Source organism: Homo sapiens, chromosome 3 (assembly GCF_000001405.40).
Source record: "Homo sapiens chromosome 3, GRCh38.p14 Primary Assembly".
NCBI lineage: Eukaryota > Metazoa > Chordata > Mammalia > Primates > Hominidae > Homo > Homo sapiens.
Window position 1 is genome coordinate 24899122 of NC_000003.12, and position 21376 is coordinate 24920497.

Sequence of the window (21376 nt, forward strand, 5' to 3'; positions counted from 1 at the left end):
TTTCGAGGCCTGGTGCACAATGAAAATGTATAGGTCTTTCTTCAATCACTATTAAAAATTTCAAGATGACAGCAGAGCATTAAACCAAGCATGGAGCCCTTTGAAGCAGGGGGCCCTGTGTGACCGCACAGATCACACGTACATGAAGCTAGCCCTACCTTCCGTCATGAAAAGAATAAGTGCTCCAGGTGATTCTGTGGCGTATTCACAGGCTTGAGAACCACGAAGGAGTGGATTCGGCAGCCTAGAATAGGTACTCAGTTATCTCCCAGCGCTTCCAGCTCCTTCAGAAATGTACCAGGCTGTTTGTGGAAAGGTTCCGTCACTGGCCAGTCATGTGAGAGGCCGAATATTATATGGTTTTCTTTGCCATTGGTGAAAAGCATCTCTTGACATCAGTCTCTCTCCCTCAATGGGGACAAAAGTCTAGTGGGAATTGATTAGGACCCAGAGGAGTTTCTGTCGGCCAACAGCTGTGGCCAAGGATAAATTCCAGACTAATAAGCTGGGTAGTGTTCTCCCCTGATGAATGGTTGTTTTGAGGAGAAAAAAAAAATTGCAGATGAGCCTTCAATGAAAGTGAAATTAAAGTCATTTATCCCAGATCATGTGGAAATCTCAACTCCCTCCTTAAAGAAGGAAAATATAATAAAGCTCCCTCATAAAGATATAAAATATTTAACATGTGACTTCTGCTTTGTACCAACATCACCTCTTAATGGTTCCATTATTTTGTTACATTTAACTTCAGTGAAAAATTTAGGAGGAAGGAAGGGCAAATGTTTAACCCAAATTGGGATTTCTTTTTTTTTGCCTGAATTCTGTGATTACATCATTGGCACATTTATATTGCAAGACATTTTTACGATATAAGCATTTTTTCATTTGGACAGCAACCATAATAAATTAAAATAAAATTCAGTCTTGATTGATGTTATAAGTGTCATGTACAGGGCAAGTCCCATCTATTAAGTGTGGTTTGCCAGGGCAGCAATAATAGCAGCATTTGAATGTTTTTCTTATTAAGGAGAAAAATGGTCAGTAACATCAGTTTGGTAGACTCCAAGGATTGTGGTAAATGGAAAATGTCTGCAGCGTGTGTAACTCCTTCCCTGGCTTTAGGATGAAGGTGGTCAGAAGTCTGAAGGAATTGTTTTTCCTTTGTAAAAAAAAATTAGGATAAACTATTACAGTTTGTGGAATGAAAGAGAGAGGCTGATTACAACATAATGGAGTGTACCATATTCATCTCTTTGAAATATGACCTCACTTGGCCTTTTCCATTTTACAATCGATTCTCTCATTCCCTTAATGAACCTTTGCATTCATGAGTCTTCCTTGGAAGTATGCACATGAAGTATTGCTGGAGCAAAGAATAATTGTCTGTCAAGTAAGTAAGAACAAAGTGCCTCTCTTGTCGTTTGGTTCAATAACATTAGAAACTGTTAATGCATCATGTTGGGCACAGTATTGTTTTGCTTAATAATTATCTAATTTGCCAAAGCTTGCTTACAAAAAATGTTGTTTGAAAACTGGCACAATAGAGTTGTTTGCCTATTTTTCTAAAGATGGGATGAGACAGCTGATGTAAATGCATTTAGGCACAACTTTACTTCTTAGATGTTGCTAAGCATGTCTAATTTGAGCACAGCAGCACATTCGGTTTGAGCAGTGATACCACGAAAGTGATGTTATAATAAAATTTCAGGGAAAAGTTGGGTGATTATAATAGGAAGGAATATGAGAGAATAAATAATATAACTCTTAGTTTTAAAAATAACAATTCATTTACATAATATGGGATGCATACATACAAGATTCATTGATCCAATATTGGAAGACAATATGGTAGGTTTCCCATAACGCAACCAGGACTTAAAATATGTTAGAGCCTCATCTTTTGTGTTTTTCCCTCCACTAGTGGAAATTTAACTATGCTCTGTTAAATACTCATTAGGTTTATGGCTCTTGGAATAAATTGGATAAAAAGCTTGGAGTAAATTGATGGCCAATGGCATTAAAAAGAAAGAACAGTGTCTAAACATTTTTGCACGTAACAGCTACATAATGATTTCAGAGACTATGTCCTTTCCTGGGAAACTGGGAACTGCAATTGTCAATGAATGATTGGGTATTTAAAGGAACCCAGGAGTATTACGGGTGGACATAAAGCAATTAAGAATTTCTTCAAAGAAAATAGAGGGAAAGAAGGCATTATAAGGCCCCTATCTGAAAGGAGAACAACAGAACAAACCCCAAACCTATATGGATTTCATCTATATATTTATATTTTTTACTTTTTTGAGACAGGACCTCACTATGTAGCCCAGGCTGGCCTGGAATTCCTAGCCTCAAGTGATCCTCCTGCCTCAACCTCTCTACTAGCTGGGACTACAGACAAGTGCCACTGGGCGCAGTTCAGGGATTTTAAAAAATAAAAATGTAACTATATCATTATCAAAGCCTTTGGTAATCAATTCTTAAAAACATATAAAAATACAGAGTATGCTCAGATTTTATGAGAGTGAATAAAGTTTCAAATACCAGTCTAGCATGTCCATTAGCTCTCCTTTCTCCATGTAAGTTATCCTTCTTGTGATGCCCAGCTCACCTTAGTTCAGAGAGCCTTTGCTGACTAGGGGGATTCCTCTGAGCTGTCGCTTCTTAGAATAGCAGTTTTAAGATGTACAGCCATTAGGCCGTTATGTAGGGCCAACATCTTATTGAGCATTTACTATACCAGGTGCTAAGCATTTATATATATAACGTTAATAATAATAAGTTGGTGCAAAATCAACTGCAGTTTTTGCCATTGAAAGTAATGACCAAGACTGCAATTACTTTTGCACCAACCTAATATAGCAATATATATAAAATATAAATATATATAACATACATATATAACATATATGAAAACATACATAAGGAAAGAACAGCAAAGAAAGACTTACATATATTTTATCTAACTTCATAATCATTGTACTAGATTGATGTTCTTATTATCTCTGTTTTAAAGATTCAGGAAGGTTAAGTGGCTTGTCCACATTCCTACGTCTGAGAAGCAGCAGATCTAGAATTTGACCACAGACTTACGTGTCCCTAGAGATCTACTGCTTCCAAAATATATTTTTATATTTCCGCTAGGTTAAGTACATATGTGGCATGCCTCCCTACTAACTTGTGAATGCTTCATGAGAGCAGGTCAACCAATGAGGTAGAATTTAAATTTCCAGGGAATCACCGTCAGAGTGATTTCACATCCATCCTCAGTTGACACCAGGTTTTTTTTTCCCACTTTTTGTCCACCCTACAGAAGAAAGGAAGAGTTTTCACCCTCCCAAATCTTGGCTTATTGGCAGTGCTTTAAGGTTTAGACATGTTCTGTTGGGGACAACGTGAGGATGATAAAAACGGGTAATTTGGTCTGGGTTGGGAATTTTATGAATTTATATGTATTGTACAGTGAACCGAGGATGATGAGACTGCTCACTGACCTCCCCCTTTTATCTCCTGACATGTCAAAGAATGCTCTGGTCTCTGTCTCTCTTTCTGTTTCTCAAATGAAGATTAATATGGTCATTATAAAAATGCTCACTGACATGTTTTGAAATGGAAAAAAAATGTTTCATTTTACCTTTCTTGGTAAAAATGAGTCTAATTTGGCTGGTTTGACAATGAGGGCTGGCTTTGCCAATCTGGTTATATGGTGGATATTTTACATTAATTATATATTACTAAAACTTCAGTTTAAGGGTTTTAGCAAAAATATAAAGTACATAGTAAGATGAAAGTATTTGATTATCTTTATATTCGTAAGGGTGTTTCTAAACTAATTTTTTCAAACCTTTCAAAATATATTGAGAGAAACAAGACGCCTCTAAGCTGAAGAGTAACAAGAATAACTGTTATTGGAAAAATCTTGGAAAAACTGTTTTGACATGCTTTCAAATTTTATAGAATTTATGAAAAATCTCCAAGTAGTAAATACATTTCTAATACTTATTTTAATAAAATAATTTTAATACTTAATTTCTGACATAGATAACTGTAATGATAACTTGAAGTGATTTTTTATCTCTTACAATAGGACAGCATTTTGGCCAAAGAAAATAAAATGATGCATTGGTACAGAAATAGGAAATAATAATCATAAAAATATGACATTAAGACAAACTTCTATGTGAAGTAGAGGAAGGGAAACACTAGTATAAGAAAAAGTAATAATGTAAAATATCTGTTAGATGAGTTGTCCATTTATTTGAAACTGATAAATATTAAGTTTCCCCGGTGTTTAGAAGCTATTAAACACATTTTAAAAGTTCTTTCTTTATATATTTGTAATCACAATATATTTGTACTTGTCAATATAATCATAAATATATTTAATATTTTCAACCATTTCAATGTATGATTAAAAATCTTCAGATGTCAGCTTAATATGAAAGGGGGTGCATGGTCCATCAAATGTGGTTTAGGAATTACGCAAACAACACATTCAGACTTTTATCTCATACTGCTCTGATCTTGTCCAATACCCAGCATGGTGTCTTTAGGGCTTTAAGATCTTGATGTTCAAGTGGAAAGAATCATATCTGATAAATACTGACATCAGGGCCAGTAAAGGAAGCATATTCTGAGAAACATTAATACTTTGTTTCCAGTAACATGAGAAGACTGAAATATGTTCTCTATACATTTTTAAAAGAATCTTAAGGATTAATAACAAAAACTTCATTGCTATAACATAGAATTTTAATGTGATAAGTTATATGGTATAGTGATCTAGATACCTAAGTCACAAGTACTAAAAGTAAAAACCATATTTCTGAAGGAATGTTACCACCAGGTCATATATGAAATCTGATTATAAAGATGGCCTTGGTTTCTACCTGTGTCTTGTGGAATGAGTCTTTTCCCAAAAGGTGAAGGAAATGATGATTTTAGAAACAACAAATGTTAATTTTAGAAACAACAAGAACAAAATTGTCATATTCTTCATTCTGGCTCTCACTCACCAACCAGGGTCTACAGTTGAGCGAGTTCTTTAACTTCCAACTGTCTTATCTTTAAAATGATAATATTGGCTTAATAGGACCATTTTGAGTATTACATGTTGTAATGTGTGTGTTAGTCTGAGTCCTCTGAGAAACAGACACCACGATGGGATTAAATGTGCAAGGATATTATTAGGAAATGCCATGAAAACAACCCCATCAAAAAGTAGCCAAAGGATATGAACAGACACTTTTCAAAAGAAGACATTTATGCAGCCAACAAACATATGAAAAAAAGCTCATCATCACTGGTCATTAGAGAAATGCAAATCAAAACCACAATGAGATACCATCTGACACCAGTTAGAATGGCGATCATTAAAAAGTCAGGAAACAATGGATGCTGGAGAGGATGTGGAGAAATAGGAAAGCTTTTACACTGTTGGTGGAAGTGTAAATTAGTTCAACCATTGTGGAAGACAGTGTGATGATTCCTCAAGGATATAGAACTAGAAATATCATTTGACCCAGGCATCCCATTCCTGGGTATATACCCAAAGGATTAGAAATCATTCTACTATGAAGACACATGCACACGTATGTTTACTGCAGCACTGTTCACAATAGCAAAAACTTGGAACCAACCCAAATGCCCATCAATGATAGGCTGGATAAAGGAAGTGTGGCACATATACACCATGGAATACTATGCAGCCATAAAAAATGATGAGTTCATGTCCTTTGCAGGGACATGGATGAAGCTGGAAACCATCATTCTCAGCAAACTAACACAGGAACAAAAAACCAAACACTGCGTGTTCTCAGTCGTTAAGTGGGAGTTGAACAATGAAAACACATGGGCACAGGGAGGGGAACATCACACAAGGGGAGGGATAGTATTAGGAAAAACACGTCATGTAGATGACGGGTTGATGGGTGCAGAAAACCACCATGGCACATGTATACCTATGTAACAAACCTGCACGTTCTGCACATGTATCCCAGAACTTAAAGTATAATAAAAATAAAATAACCAAAGCCTTTACCACAGGGCTATAGAAGGTGAATCTGTGACTCATTTATTTCATAGATGGTAGAGTGAATAGCCATCTCTTCCTTACCCTGGGCCCTGGGGGTTTGTGATATGGTAGTTTCAAATGTGATGACAGTAATAAAAATGAGTTATCTAAACAAATCCAATTCTATGTCTTCTTGTTTGACTCATTGTCTTAAGGCCAAATGCACCTTTTCAGCACAAGACAAAAATACCTCTGCTTACTTGACACATCTGACCACATCTCTTCTCACACTGCTCATCCTTCTGTTCCACTAACACTGGTGATGGTACTCATTATTGATGGGCTGACTCATTCCTCTCTACGGATGTCCACATGACACAGTTCTGGCCAGTGAGACACTGGGGGAGATTACTAGGTAGAGTTTTTGGACAAGCTTTCCTTTCCTGATTTAAAAAAGGAAAAGGATAGTTTGAGATTGTAAGCATTTTGTTTATTGCCTTTCTTTCCTTCTTCCCACCTGCTTAAAGAAGCCTGGAGGTGCAGTAGTCATCTTGAGTGAGACAAAATAATGAGGAAGGGTAATTATAGATATAACTGGGGCCTGGGCCTTTAAAAGCATCACTGAGCAGTTGCACTGGCTAAGGATGTTTGTCAGACATCCTATATTAATTTGATTAATACCTACTTACATATTATCCAGTCAGATTTTCTGTTACTTGCCACCATATGCAATCTTGACTATTTTACCATGATTATATTTCATCCATCGAAGTAATTAAGACTTGAGGTTTTGTTAATTTCCTTGTTAAAACTAGACAAGACAGTGAACTCTTTGATATTGACTTTTTCTAGTCTGTTATGCACAAGGCATAGGTAAGATAAGACCTGGGGTACCACAGTGGGGTCTTAGTTCCTCTCAGAAAATACAGTACTAACAAAAAATTAGAACAAAGGAATCAAAGTCGAGACAGCCAATAAGCATGAGGACCTAGGCTAGGCAGGGTGGGTTTCACAAATGAGGAGGGGATGTCGTGGCCACATTTTGGTTTTAGAAAGCTTGCTGTAGCTAGTAGCTGGGTAGAAGTAGTCTATTTGGGAGAGTATATGAGGTTTCAGGGAGAGTTTCTGGAGCTTAGGGCTGGAATGATGGCTGGGTTTAGAGAAGAATGGATGGATCTTAGTGTTTGGATTGACTTGGATATAGCAGATGCAGGCAGAATGAAAATTCAGAATGCTTCAGATTTTTGGCTTAGGCAAAATTTGACAAATGACAGAGTCAAGGAGCACCATTTAAAGACCAGGATAGTTGAGATTGTTGTAACAAAAGTACTTGAGTGTGAATTGGAATACTGCCCTTTATTAGATTTATCATTTTGGGAAGGCTAACTTCTCTAATCTTCAAGATTCCTATCTTTAAAGCTACGCTGGCTGGGAGTGGTGACTCATGCCTGTAATCCCAGCACTTTGGGAGGTTGAGGCGGGCAGATCACCTGAGGTCAGGAGCTCGAGACCAGCCTGGCTAACATGGTGAAACCCTGTCTTTTCTAAAAATACAAAAAAATTAGCTGGGCATGGTGGCGGGTGCCTGCAATCCCACCTACTTGGGAAGCTGAGGAAGGGAAATCGCTTGAACCTGGGAGGCAGAGGTTGCAGTGAGCTGAGATTGTGCCACTGCGCTCCAGCCTGGACAACAGAATGAGATTCCGTCTCAAAAAAAAAAAAAAAAAAAAAGCAAAAAAACCCCCCACTAATCATATGAGTCAAATCACAAGAAACCTGGAGGATATAATATTCAGTATTGTTGTTGGATCAAGTTAAAAGAAGGAAGAGAATGATGGTGAATTTCACAAGCCAGGAGACAGTCAAATGTAGATATCCAGTAGGAATATCTGGGGCTGAGTTGGGGATATAGACTTGGACTTACTTGTCCATTCAATCAGCCAATATTTATGGAGCACCCCCCATGTGATAGGTATTATTCTAGGCACTAGAATACTTACGGTAGTTGAAGCCAGGAGAAAAGGGCCATGGGCAAACCCCTGAGGAACCAGATTATTTCAGGGCTGGAGTGGTAGTTATCAAACTTTAGCATCAGAATCACTTAGAGAATTTGTTTATAAACAAATTTCCTGGGCCTTACTCCAGTGATCTGATGTAATAGGTCTAAAGTGAGAGCTGAAATCCTGCATTTTTGACAATTCCCTAAGTAATGCTGATGCCACTGGCCTAGGGCCACACTTAGTATCGCTGGATTAGAAAAGAGTTAGTTACAAGATGACTGAGAGGGAAGAGCTAAAGGGATATAGGGAGAAGCCAAGCAAATGAAAGTTTTAAAAAGGAATTATTAGGTGTATTATTATTAAATGTGGTTAAATGCTGAGAGGTCAGACTAACTCCAAAGCATCCCGTGGATTTAGTTAAAAGGGCAAGAGAAGCTGAGTGGAAGTATGGTTAGTATGACTGTTGGAATGTGAGGAGTAAGGATATGGGATGGCATGTGTAGTCAGCTTACTTAAGAAATTTGCTTCTCTTCTGAATGAACAATCTTTGAACACTTTTACCCAAAGTGCTTTGGTAGGTACATAAATCTTACTTGAAAAAAAAGATTTAATAAGTAAATATCTAGTAAACCCTAACTAAAGCTAAACAGATTTGTTTTTAGCAGCATTTCTCCATACCTTTAAATATAGAAATGAACTTAATATATTACCAATATAGGGATCTAGTAAGCAATATTAACCACAACTATTTGACAAGGAAATACTCGTCTTCACGGGTCTCTTAGGGACAAGTGGTCCAAGGAGCATCCTTTGGAAATGTTCCCCCTGCAATTCTAAATCTTACTGGTTAATGAAGGTCACCGGAGTGAGGGGGTTTTGTTATCTTTATCAACATCCCAGAGACGCTCAGGATTTGAGAGGTATTCCTTTCCTGTTCCTAGGACTATGTATGTATAAGTGCTGTACCAAGCATTATATCTGTATAGTAGTACAGCATGTTCCAAGCCTCTGAATGATGGCCAGTGGAGAAAAAGCACTGATTCTTGTTCAGATATTTGGTCTCCTAGAGGTATACTTGGATTTTTATTGTTAGAGTGATTGATTTAAGGCGTTCGCTTTCTTAAGTTTCTTTAAAAATTTGCCTGAAGATAACCTCTGTGTAAAATGCAGTAGGTATTTATTTTTTGCAAATGCCTATTTTTTAAAAAATATGTACCAGTAGAATCTACACTAGAAGAAGAGATTACAGTCACCATATGCTATGTACATTGAAAGTCAATACACCTACAGCTTCCATCAAGGAAAATCAATGAAGCAAGAACCTTAACAATTTGGATCTTCTCCTTGATAAGACTAATACTTGCATGCAGCTTAGTTCAACATAATGAACAAAATTTAGCTGATTTTGTTTGGAAATGCTTTCTTGAAGAGCAGAAATGAGGTCAACTTGAGGATAGAAAGTAAATGACTAGATAAACATAAAGGCTTTCTAGCTCTAAAATTTGTAATTCTTGAGGTAACCACAACTGTTTTTTTTTTTTTTTTTTTTTTTTTACTAACCTACAGTTAATTCACATCATACAGAAGGTCTAGGGAGATATTAATGAAAAAAAGGAAATGTTGAGACCTTAATAGACCTGTTACCTTTGTAATTCTATAAACCATTGACATGAACATACCTAGTAGACTCACTGCTATTTGAGTAAAATTTAAATTTTTTCCCCAGTTTCCATGCCTTGACCCACATTCTCTGCTTTCCCACATCCTTCAGCTATCCATATTCAACTCCCCGTAATGGCTAACGGAATCCTATTTTTTCCATGATATGTCAATTTGCTGAAGACTTCAGTAGAAAAGAATGCTATTAATAACATTGATCTCTCCCGTTATATAACACATTAGAAATGTTAGAGCTTTTTCCAAAAGGCATCATTTTTACTTTTCATGACCCTAGGAGACAGGTTATTATAATGGCCTTTTGGTGGAGTAGGAAACCAAATCTCTGAGGTTAAAAGCAAGTAAGTTGTAGATGAGGGCCCAAGTCAGGATTTATGCTGCAAATGTTATACTCTGTTCTCTATTACTTGCCTGTCTTTGTTCTCACTGAACCACTAGGGCACTTATCCATTCATTCATTCAACAAATATTCATTGAGCACCTACTATATTCTTCTATAACACATTTCTATAACATGAATTAGCACACACATGATTGGTAAATAGAGCAATATCAATAAAATATGGGGATCATCTTGGTGCTCTCCAGCACATTAATTTTTGACGTATTAAAGTTCACTGACGCGGGTGAATGCAGTGAGCTATGAAAGAACAGAGTGTGCACACGAGGCCTGTCTCCTACGTTCCTCCTCGTGACTCAGTATCACTAGGTGTTCCATCTTGGAAGTACTTATTATTCTAGTTTTCTTCATCTTTTTTTTTTTTTTTGGATTTTTACCTCATCTCCAAGATTCAGCTTTGACTTAAACCTTCCATTAAGCTATCTCTACCTTTCTTTGCATTTGTTAGTCCTTCTATATGTCAGTTTTATTTACTAGGGATTCATCCTGTCTTTTAACCGTGATGGATTTTTAAGATGATTCTTGTTGTGCTCTGCTTACAAAGTATGTAACCTGAGTGGTCTACCCTGACCTATTTTTGTTCTGTCACCTCTTATTTTTGATGTCTGATTGTGTAGGGCATAGAATTTTAATGTTTGTATGCATGTTAGCATAAATGTCTATATTTGCCAAGTAACATGTCTCTGTGTGTGTGTTTGTATTTATTCTCCACAGTAAAGTGTCGAATTTCTATATATTTTTTCCCAAAACATTTATGCCGCAAAATTGAAAAAGTCTGCTTTTAATTGTTCTAGCCAGAGATTATTGAAAAGCTCCTACATACTAGGTATGTTACCATTTTATTTAATTCTCATAGCAACCACATAAATCTGAATCTTTCTATCCCCATTTTTGGCAAAGGATTTGAACCTCAGGCAGTCTGACTCTTCCTTTTTTTACTCCACCATGTTTCTATTTTTTGCAAGCTAAATATAATTTCACATTGAAAAATTGTTCTTCCTAAGCCTAGAAACTTAGGGAAATTGGGGGTGCTGGCAAAAAAACGTTGAATTGCATTTGCCTTTCCACCATCCCTTCAAAGACTTTCAAGTAAATTTTCTAGTTTTCCCAGTTAGGTTCAGTCCCGCTAATACTAATGTCTAGCTCTTCTTACCCAAAACCCACTAATAATGAAATTTATCATCTCATTTAAGGTAAATAAACACAAAATAATTGGATGACATGTTTTGATAAATATAGAGTAAATATATGAGCTTTGTAATTTTTTAGGACCTGTGAATAATCTGTGTTTACAAAGGAGAGCTGTTTTAGTTAAAATAATCCTATTTGCTCTAACAGATACTCCCCAATCCAATATCCCAGAGGCTCAATATGATAAAAGTTTGTCACTCTTAACAGTCTAACTTGGGTGCTCCTGGTCTGGTAGTTTTTTCTCAATATTGAATTTGGAGACTCCATTTCCTTCCATTTTCAACCCTATATTTTTCAATGCTTGTGTCTGACGCTACCCTGGGGAGTCTTCATTATAGTCAACCCGATGCAGAAAAGACCATGGAGAATTATGAGGGAGGATTTTATGTGGAAACCCCAAAATGACATATATTGCTGCTGCTGCATTACACTGGCTACAACTCAGTTTTGTGGCTACTCCTGACCACAAGGGAGGCTAGTAGTCTAGCTGTGTGCCCAAAAGGAAAAGGAACTAGATTTTATGCACAGCTAGCCAATTTCTACCACAGGGCCAACATAAGTTCTTTAACAGCTCAAGTTTTATGCCTGTAACTATTGCTTCCAGCAGAATAAATTTCTCTTCGGCAAGCTGTGATAAATGTTATGACTTCATATTTTATTTTATGACACCTCTGCTTCATTCTCCCTAAATTGCCTTATTGCGTTTCATTATGGGCACTAATGATGAATTAAGTTGGACTGCTTAATAATTAAAAGTATTTCTAGGATGAAACCATCTTCTCTCTCGGAAGAAAGTACTTGGCTTTGTTCACAGCTGTAGTACTCAGTAAAAGAGAATTAGAATTCTTAAGAAATGAACACACAGACCTCCCAACAAGTGACATTGACAGGATTGTTCTGTTCGATTGTAAAAGAAAGGAATTTATATAAAATCAAAAAAAGCTTTTTACCAAGCTATAAAAATGAATGGTACAAACTTTTAATAACTTTAAGGATGCTAAACCTGGAATGAGCTGACATCTGAAAGAAAACTCTAGAAACAATTTCTGTTGCATATGTACAGAAATATGGAGGAGGAATGGTCCCATGGTTTGGGACCAAGCATAAATGTTACCTAATGTCAAACAGTTACCCAGTTTTTATTTTTATTTTTTGTTTGCTTTTGCTATTAAGTGGTAGTGTCTTAACACTGAAAAATTTGAATAAACTTGGATTGTATGGTTTCTCCACGGATGGTATCAGAGGAATGTATGAATGTGCCAAATCCTGGCTGGGCACAGTGGCTCATACCTGTAATCCTAGCACTTTGGGAGGCCAAGATGGGAGGATCACTTGAGGCCAGGAGTTCAAGATCAGCCTGGGAAACATAGCAAGATCTTGTCTCTTAAAAAAGTACCATATTGTGGATTAAAATGTGTATTTGTGGGAGTGTGTTTTTTCTAGGAAGAATTTTCTATAGACTTCACTAGATTTTCAAAGCATCTTGTGATATTCTCTCAGAAAGGCTAGGACTGTGCCCATGTAAAAAGAATGAATCTTAATGTTGGTGACAACACAGTACATAGGATTGCTTTAAAGAAGTTCAAGTCTCCAGACGTGCAATGATAAAAAAACATGAGCATGGGACCTCAGAACCATTTTTAGCGACATTTACTTATGCACATGGTCGCTAAACAAATATTGCTTGAGTGCCTTTTCCATGTCTCCTGCTGTGCTTAAATATTCCTGCAGATAGCAGGAGAGTTGCTAGAAATTTGAGAATGAGGGCTATGACGAGGCAGGGGGGAAATGTGGCTCCATGATAGTGTCCACGAGCTTTTGTTGGCATCAGGCATACAAGGTACGAATCCTACTTCTTCCATGTTTTATCTATCTGATCTCGGGTAAGTTAGGGAACATTTCTGTACCTCCATTTGTTCTACAAAAGGATTCATGTACCCGTTTCTTCGTATTGTTATGAAGAATATGTTAAATAATACATGTAATATACTTAATACAATGTCTGGTACACAGTAAAATCTCAATAAGTGGTCATTATTATTCGGTGTCCTCAAATATGTGAGTATCTTCCAGATATAAGATGAATTGGGTTTAGTACGGGTGGCCCTGTAGGGAGAATAGAAACCAATGGGTCTGAGTTTTAGGAAGATGCAGTTCAGCTTAACATAGCCAATCTTTTAATAATCCTAGAAACAGATAAAAATGGAACCAGGGCACAGGGCAATGAACTCCCATCGCTGGGAGGATTTAAATAGAAGAAGCCACTATTTCTCAGGGAAGAGAAAAATCTTTCTACATGATTAAACTAAGTTGCATTTGACATTTCAACTAAAGTTAGCATTCTATGAATGTTCTTAATAATTATCATATAGAAAAGGAGGTTAGAAAGAACCTGAATCTCAGTTTTTCTATCCTTGTGTATAAGAGAAATGTTTTTCAAAGTGTAACTTAAGTTTCTCAAATCCAGGAAGAGATTGAAAGACAGGAAAATTATCCCATACAGGTATGTTGTCTCTTAAGAAAATGTGACCCATGGTATCTAAAGTGGCAATACGCACACAAGGTACTGATTCTTTTTTTTTTTTTTTTTTTTTTGGAGACAGAGTCTCGCTCTGTCGCTCAGGCTGGAGTGCAGTGGCGCCTTCTCGGCTCACTGCAAGCTCCGCCTCCCAGGTTCATGCCATTCTCCTGCCTCAGCCTCCTGAGCAGCTAGGACTACAGGCACCCGCCACCACGCCCGGCTAATTTTGTTTTTGTATTTTTAGTAGAGACGGGGTTTCACTGTGTTAGCCACGATGGTCTCGATCTCCTGACCTCCTGATCTGCCCACCTTGGCCTCCCAAAGTGCTGGGATTACAGGTGTGAGCCACCGCGCCCAGCCGGTACTGTTCTTTTCTTAACAGAGGGTTTTCCCACTGAGATTTCCTTCAATTTACAGACAATTGTAGAGACAACTTACAAATGTATGAAGTGACATAGTCTTCTTTCTCTCTCTCTCTCTTTTTTTTTTTTTTTTTTTGGTCAGAGATCGTCTATAGTACTAATTCAGAAGTATAGCTCATACATTTCTCTCAATTCAAGGGCAGAGTGAAAAATACAATTTCAGAGTAAATTTGTGTGTTAACTTATTTCTGTAACAGTAGAGTTGAAATAACTATCAGGAAATATTGTTACAAAAATGGGTTCCTACTTGTATCTATCTCAATTAGTGGACAATCAAATGCCAGGAATTTCTTTCATCAAAATAAAGTTACATCTTAATGTGAAATGATAACACTCATCTGAGTCTGTTCAATAGCCAACAAAAAATTAAGCTGGTAAGGATAATTAATCTTTACAGTCCCATATTTTGAACGTTTTTGGGGAAAAAGTTATCAAGATTAAGGATCAGGTCAATAATTATGAATTTGTAAATCTAAAAGCAACATAAAAGTGGATATCCAGTCTAAAATAGTACTCCAGCACTTAGTGACATTCGGGGTTTACTCACTATGTATTAGAAACAGACTAATTTTTCTTAGAATTTAAGCTCTAGTCTATCTAAAATCAGCTTGTCTGGCTTTTTCTCTATGCGATGGAAATACACACAAGTCAGCCAGATGCAAAAGGTAGCCACAGGGAAATGGGTATGGCCAAGATGGTGCCAATCACACATGAAATCATGTTGTCTGTGATGCTACTTAAGCAGCATTAGAAAGAGAAAGGATCACAGATGGAAAATCTCAAATCATGTACCATTCCACCTTCTATATGCTCCAACATGTTATAGCTCAGGGATCTGAGACACAAAATGTTTAAATTTGTCCAGCACCCCTAGTGGTACAGCAACACATGCTCAAATCTCTTGATGAGTAACATTTTCCATGTCGTACCTGTGGCATCTCAGTGACAAATGGATTCTAGGGCCCTGGAATATTGCCACTCACTGAAGTTTCAAAGCTTTTAAAGGTGGGGATTGCTGCAGGAATATTGGGGGCAGGGTAAGACAGGTATGCCCTCTCAGATAGGCCTTATCCTGCTTGCTCATGGGAAGAGGTAATTCAACCTTCCGGATTTGATAGATGGAACATCTTCTGCCAATTATGTGTAAAGTACAGCCGATCTTCAGTATCCATAAAGGACTGGTTCTGGTTCCCCTCTCAGGTACCAAAATCCATGATACTCGTGTCCCTGATAGAAAATGCTGTAGTATTTGCATATAACCTGCACACATCGTCCTGTATACTTTAAATCATCTCCAGATTACCTAATACTATGTAAATGCTATATAATAGTTGTTACACTGTATTGTTTATGGAATGACAAAGTCTGTGTGTGTTCAGTACAGGTACAACCATTCATATTTTTCAAATATTTTCAATCTGAAACTGGTTGAATCCAAGGATGTGGAACTCGAGATACAGAGGGTCCACCGTACAATGCCCGAAATGATGTGGTAATCTCAGTACTAACAGATGGTATTGTCCTGTCTTAACCACCTGTGCACTATAAATGTACCTCACTGTGACCTGTTTGGATTTGTTGTTGAGCTTCCTAAAGTGAATATAATACCTTGACTTTGCAGGATGGACCCAGCTTCCATACATAGCATTATAGAGATTGATATTGTTTGTCTTTGAAAGCTGATTTGAAACATAGAAGTAGTCATTCCAAACTGTGCACTTAGTGGTTAGTGGGGAGAGGACCACTCTTTATAAGAGGTGTTTCTGAAGAACTAGTCCTGTTGGTTTTAGACAAGAGATACAAAAGTTGAAGAAAACAAAAACAAACTTTTTTTTGAAAGAGAGGCTTTCTTTTAAAATGCTATAGACCCATGCTGTCCAACAGAAATGTGATATAAGTCAAACATGTAACATAGTTTTCTAGTAGTCACAGACATAAAAGTACAGACCTAGGTAAAACTAATTTTAATTTAACTTCATATATTTGAAATATTTTAACACAAATCATATTAAAATTTAACTGGCATGTGTCAATTTTTGTATTACATCTTTAAAATTAGTGTGCATTTTACACTTACAGTATATCTCAATTCTGAGGAGCTATATTTCCACTGCTCAATAGCCACATGTGGCTAATGGCTATCATACTGGACAGGGACAGCTCCAGACCAAAGACTGCTCATAAATTGCTAGGAAATCATGCCTGATCCATTGGAGAAATTTTGAACTAGAGATATATGCCCAAATGTTGTTTCATGAAGGTTTTTAAGCCTCTCAGAAAGGGAAATAACATTTTCAGACTTCATGTATGTGTTTGCCATACAGCGTTGTGGGTGTTGTATGTGACTTGGATCTGGTTCAACTGATATGTGACATGAGGTGACTTTTAGCCATGGTGAGCTCACCAAATAGCTTTCTTCTGGGAATGCTAATATGTTGATCCTGGGTCTATACAAATGTAGGTGACCATTAAGCTGTGAATGATGGGTCTGGAGTGATCTCACCCCAGTAGAAGGAATGGGATTTCTGAAGCCAAGAAACAAAGCTGGAAGGGGAAACCTTAGTGCATCAAGGGAGAGGCTGCAGAAAAGCAAGTTCACAGGAGTCAGGGAGAGAGAGGCACCTACATTCAAGGCCTGAGTGGAGTGAGACAGCACTTCAGAAGTAGAAAGCAATCAAAAGCCTTACGGAAATTGACTGACTCAAGTGGTGGACAAGGAGAATTAATAAAAACTAGGCCTGTCAATAGTAGTTTACTTCTGTGTAATGAGAGCACAAGCAGAGATGTCTGTGTTTATGTCTGAGCTGGAAAAAAGACTCACAGAAAGCAGTAGGACACAGTGAAAGCTAGAGCCCTCTTTATGATTTTGAGGGAAATATATATCATTTCCCTCCATTCTAGTCATAGGTACAAAAAGAGAAAGAAAGTTGAAAAGAATCTTAAGGATAATCAACCTTCCCTACTACACCTGATTTTCTTAAGGCCCCACAGAAGGGCATCAGGAGAGTAAGATTAACATAATCCCATGTCTCCTGACCAATGAGGCTTTATTCCATGGCTGTTCCTGCAGCATTTTAGTATTCCTAGATGCTTCTAAGGAGAAGGTCCTGGTCTCCTCTGTTAGCAGAATGAAAGCCCGCATTGGTTATTACCTACTCCCTCTAGGTATATTGAAGAACTCTTCTTTTACCCTCTCTGATACCTGTGATGTCTGATGTGCTTAATGAGTAAAACACACTTGCAGAGAGTGATGTTTCCCAGAAAGCATATTGATGATATGGAGAAACTGGAAATCTTCTGTGTTGCTCATGTGAGTATAAAAGGGTATAACCATTTTGGTAAAAAGTATTGCAGTTTCTTATAAAATTAAATATACATCTATTCTATGGCATTGCAGTCTCATTTCTATGTGTTTGCTGTTCAAAAAAAAAAAAAAAAAAACCTTGTACAAGAAGGTACATGTTTTAACACCCCAAAATGGGAAACAGGCCAGGTGTCCATCAAAAGGATAATGCATAAACAAACTGCAGCCTACCTGTATAATGAAACTTAGGAAAAACATGGATGAATCTCAGTAATATTTTGCTGAGTGGAAGAAACATAACACAAACTGTACACATTCAATTATTCCATTTGTATGAAGTTTTTGTGAATTTGCACAGATATAACTAATTTATGAAGAATAGTGAATACTGCAAATGTTAAAAATTGTCATGGGTGTTCACTGTAAAACTTTTCAACTTTTGTTTTTTAAAAAAATTTTATAATGAAGTCTTGGGGTATGAATTATTTGTGAAATTGGTACCTTAGTGGGAACAAATTACTTTAGAATCTTACCCTTGCCATATGCAAACAAACCTAAATGTAAGAGCTAAAATCAAAAAAGTTTTAGAAAAAAACTTCATGACCTTAGGTTAAGAGGTTTTAGATATGACATGAAAAGCATGATTCATAGAGGAAAAAAACTGATACATTGACTAAACTTAAAAAATGTATGTTTCAAAATACATTAAGTAAAAAAGACAGATCACAGGCTGTAAGAAAATATTTGCAAATAGCATATTTGATGAACTCATATCCAGAATAAACAAAGCACAACTCAGTGATGGACAACTTAATTAGGTATGGACAAAAGATTTGATTGAATAGTCACTTCATCAAAGAATGTAAGCACATAAAAATATGCTCAATGTCATTAGTCTTGAGACACAGGCTTGCTCTGTCACCCAGACTAGAGTACAGTGGTGCGATCTCTGCTCACTGCAACCTCTGCCTCCTGGGTTCAAGCGATTCTCCTGCCTCAGCCTCCCAAGTAGCTGGGACTACAGGCGTGTGCCATGCCTGCTAATTTCTCTATTTTTACTAGAGACGGGGTTTTACCATGTTGGCCAGGCTGGTCTCAAAATCCTGACCTCAGGTGATCTGCCTCCTTCGGCGTCCTAAAGTGCTGGGCTTACAGGCGTGAGCCACAGTGCCCAGCCCATGTCGTTAGTCTCTAGGGAAAACCACAGTCTACTTCACACCCACTAGAATGATTATAAGTAAAGAGACAAAGTAAGTACTGGTGAAGATGTAGGTAATCTGGAACCCTCATACATTGCTGATGGAAATGCAAAGTGGTACAGCTACTTTAGGAAACAATTTGTCGGTTTTCTGAAATGTTAAATATAACATCATGCAACCCAGCAAGTCCACACCTAGCATGCTATGCAAACGAAAGGAAAACATACATCCACACAAAGGCCTCAATGTGAATGTTCAGAATAACATTGTTCTTAGTAGTTAAAAAATGCAAACAATCCAAATGTTCATCAACTGGTGAATGACTAAACAAAAACGGTACCTCCGTACAATGGCATATTATTCAGCAATGCAAATGAACGAATTACTAATACATGCTGGTTGAACTGCAACCTGACTTGGTTGAACTTCAAAAACATTTTCTAACTGAAGGAGACCAGATGTCAAAAGACCTTATATTGTAATCTTTATTTGTATGAAATACCTAGAAAATGCAGATCTATAGAGGCAAAGTAGATATGAGTTGCCTGGGAGAGAACAGGAATTAACTGCAAAAGAGAAAGTGGGGTCTTTTTGGGGTGACGGAGATATTTTAAAACTTGAGTGTGATGATGGTTGCATAATTTTGTAAATTTACCAAAAACCATTAAATTATACACTTATAACAGGTGAATGTTATGGTATGTTAATAACATCTCAAAGCTGTTACAAATATTGTACAAAATTTAGACTAGGGCTGGGCACAGTGGCTCGCACCTGTAATCCCAGCACTTTGGGAGGCCGAGGTGGGCAGATTGCCTGAAGTCAGGAGTTCAAGACCATCCTGGCCAACAGGCCAACATGGTGAAACCCTGTCTCTACTAAAACTATAAAAATTAGCTGGTCGTGGTGGCGGGTGCCTGTAATCCCAGCTACCCAGGAGGCTGAGGCAGGAGAATTGCTTGAACCCAGGATGCAGAGGTTGCAGTGAGCCAGATCATGCCATTGCACTCCAGCCTGGGTGACAGAGCGAGAGTCTCAAAAAATAAATAAAATTAAATTAAATAAATAAAAAACTTAGACTGATAGAAGTCAAAATTGTAGAGTTTTGTGGGTAAGAGAACTGAATTTGGTACAGTATGATTTCCTTCATCCTTACTGTGTGACTTCTGGAAATTACTTAGCCTCTCAGTGATTTATTTTACTCCTCTATAAAATAGCAATAAGAGTATGTCCCTCATAGTAATTTTAACAAAATTGCAGGAGATAAACTGTACTTATCACAGCATTTAACACATTGAGAGCTTAATAAGTGTCAACTCCTACTACTATGATAATAATGATCTAGAGGCATTGACCATAATATTTCACTACTTTTTGGCTCAAAAGTTCTTAACCTTCTATGACTGTACTTGTTTCCAAGATTTGGTATTGAGTTGTGTTAAATTAAGTTTAGCCTAAAGCTGCCTCTTTACGTATGTGAAGTTCGGCCTAAAAGTTTCTCCATACAAAGTGAACTATAACCGAAATGCAGGTGCGAACAGACTGTAACCTACTCTTGTGCCAATCATCGAGTTTTGGCTAATCAAAGATGGCCAACTGTTCAAACCCTGTTCAAATAAGGCAAACACCAAGCTGTAACCAATCCGGCTGTTTCTGTACCTCACTTCCATTTACTGTACGTCACTTTCTTTTTCTGTCCATGAATGTTCTTTCACCACGTGGCTGCACTGGAATCTCTCTGAGCCTACTCTGGGTCTGGAGGCTGCCCAATTAGTGAATTGTTCTTTGCTCAATTAAACTGTTTAGTAGGATTTGTCTAAGGTTTCTTTTTGAACAGTTGTTTAGGTATCTTTTCTAAAAGGACCCAGAACAATGTGCTCTTCTAATTCCTTATCTGACTTCTAATTTTATTTTTCTTCATGGTGCCTTTAATTTCTTCTCATCAGACTTTTCAAAGTGCTGTCTCTAGCAGTTTCCTCTTTCTGCTCATTTACAACTTCCAGGGTGCTGCTGAACTCTGAACAGTCTTGATACAATTGTGTACAAAAGTCCAAAATGGCAAAATGAAGGTGTGTGGTCTCTGCCTACAAATTAAAATACGTGGGTTTTAACATGTTCATTTTGTAATAACCTCGCTGGACACTGCTTATTGAGTTAAATTTCTCTTTGAGAGGTTGGGAGGATGCTAGTCATACAAACCAAAGAGAATGAATTTAAGATTATTTAAAAATAAAAAGCAATTGCATTAGTTTTCAATAACATTAACAATGTGAGCTAGCTGTTAACCAAGGGTTTTCTTGAAGAGGTCCTGCTGGGACTACTTTTAATTTGGCAATTAGCAGCACCATTTGCATACAAATAATGTGTTGAAGTCCTTAAAAATAGTCCACCTCTATCCCCAATTAGGGCCAATTTCCAATGGAAATCGTGTTAATCCTTCTAAATTGTAGAACAAATATTTCCTTAATATATAATGGAAAGATGGTATTGCAACCAGCTCAGAAAGGAAAATCACAGATTTAAAATTAGAAAACTTCAAATCAGGAAATCTAAATATTGTATTAAAAATGGTAGTCTTTCCCATACCCATTTCATCTCCAATTTTCCAGATCTCCCTTGAACACTGTAGCTTCAGCTGTTAATTTTGTA

The 21376-nt window shown here is 37.2% G+C and overlaps 1 protein-coding gene across 1 annotated transcript in view; it reads left to right on the top strand.

Annotated features, from left to right (window-relative positions):
- RARB (retinoic acid receptor beta) overlaps nt 1-21376 on the top strand; it is a 768612-nt gene that overhangs the window by 69801 nt on the left and 677435 nt on the right. The gene's annotated exons all lie outside the window — the stretch shown is intronic.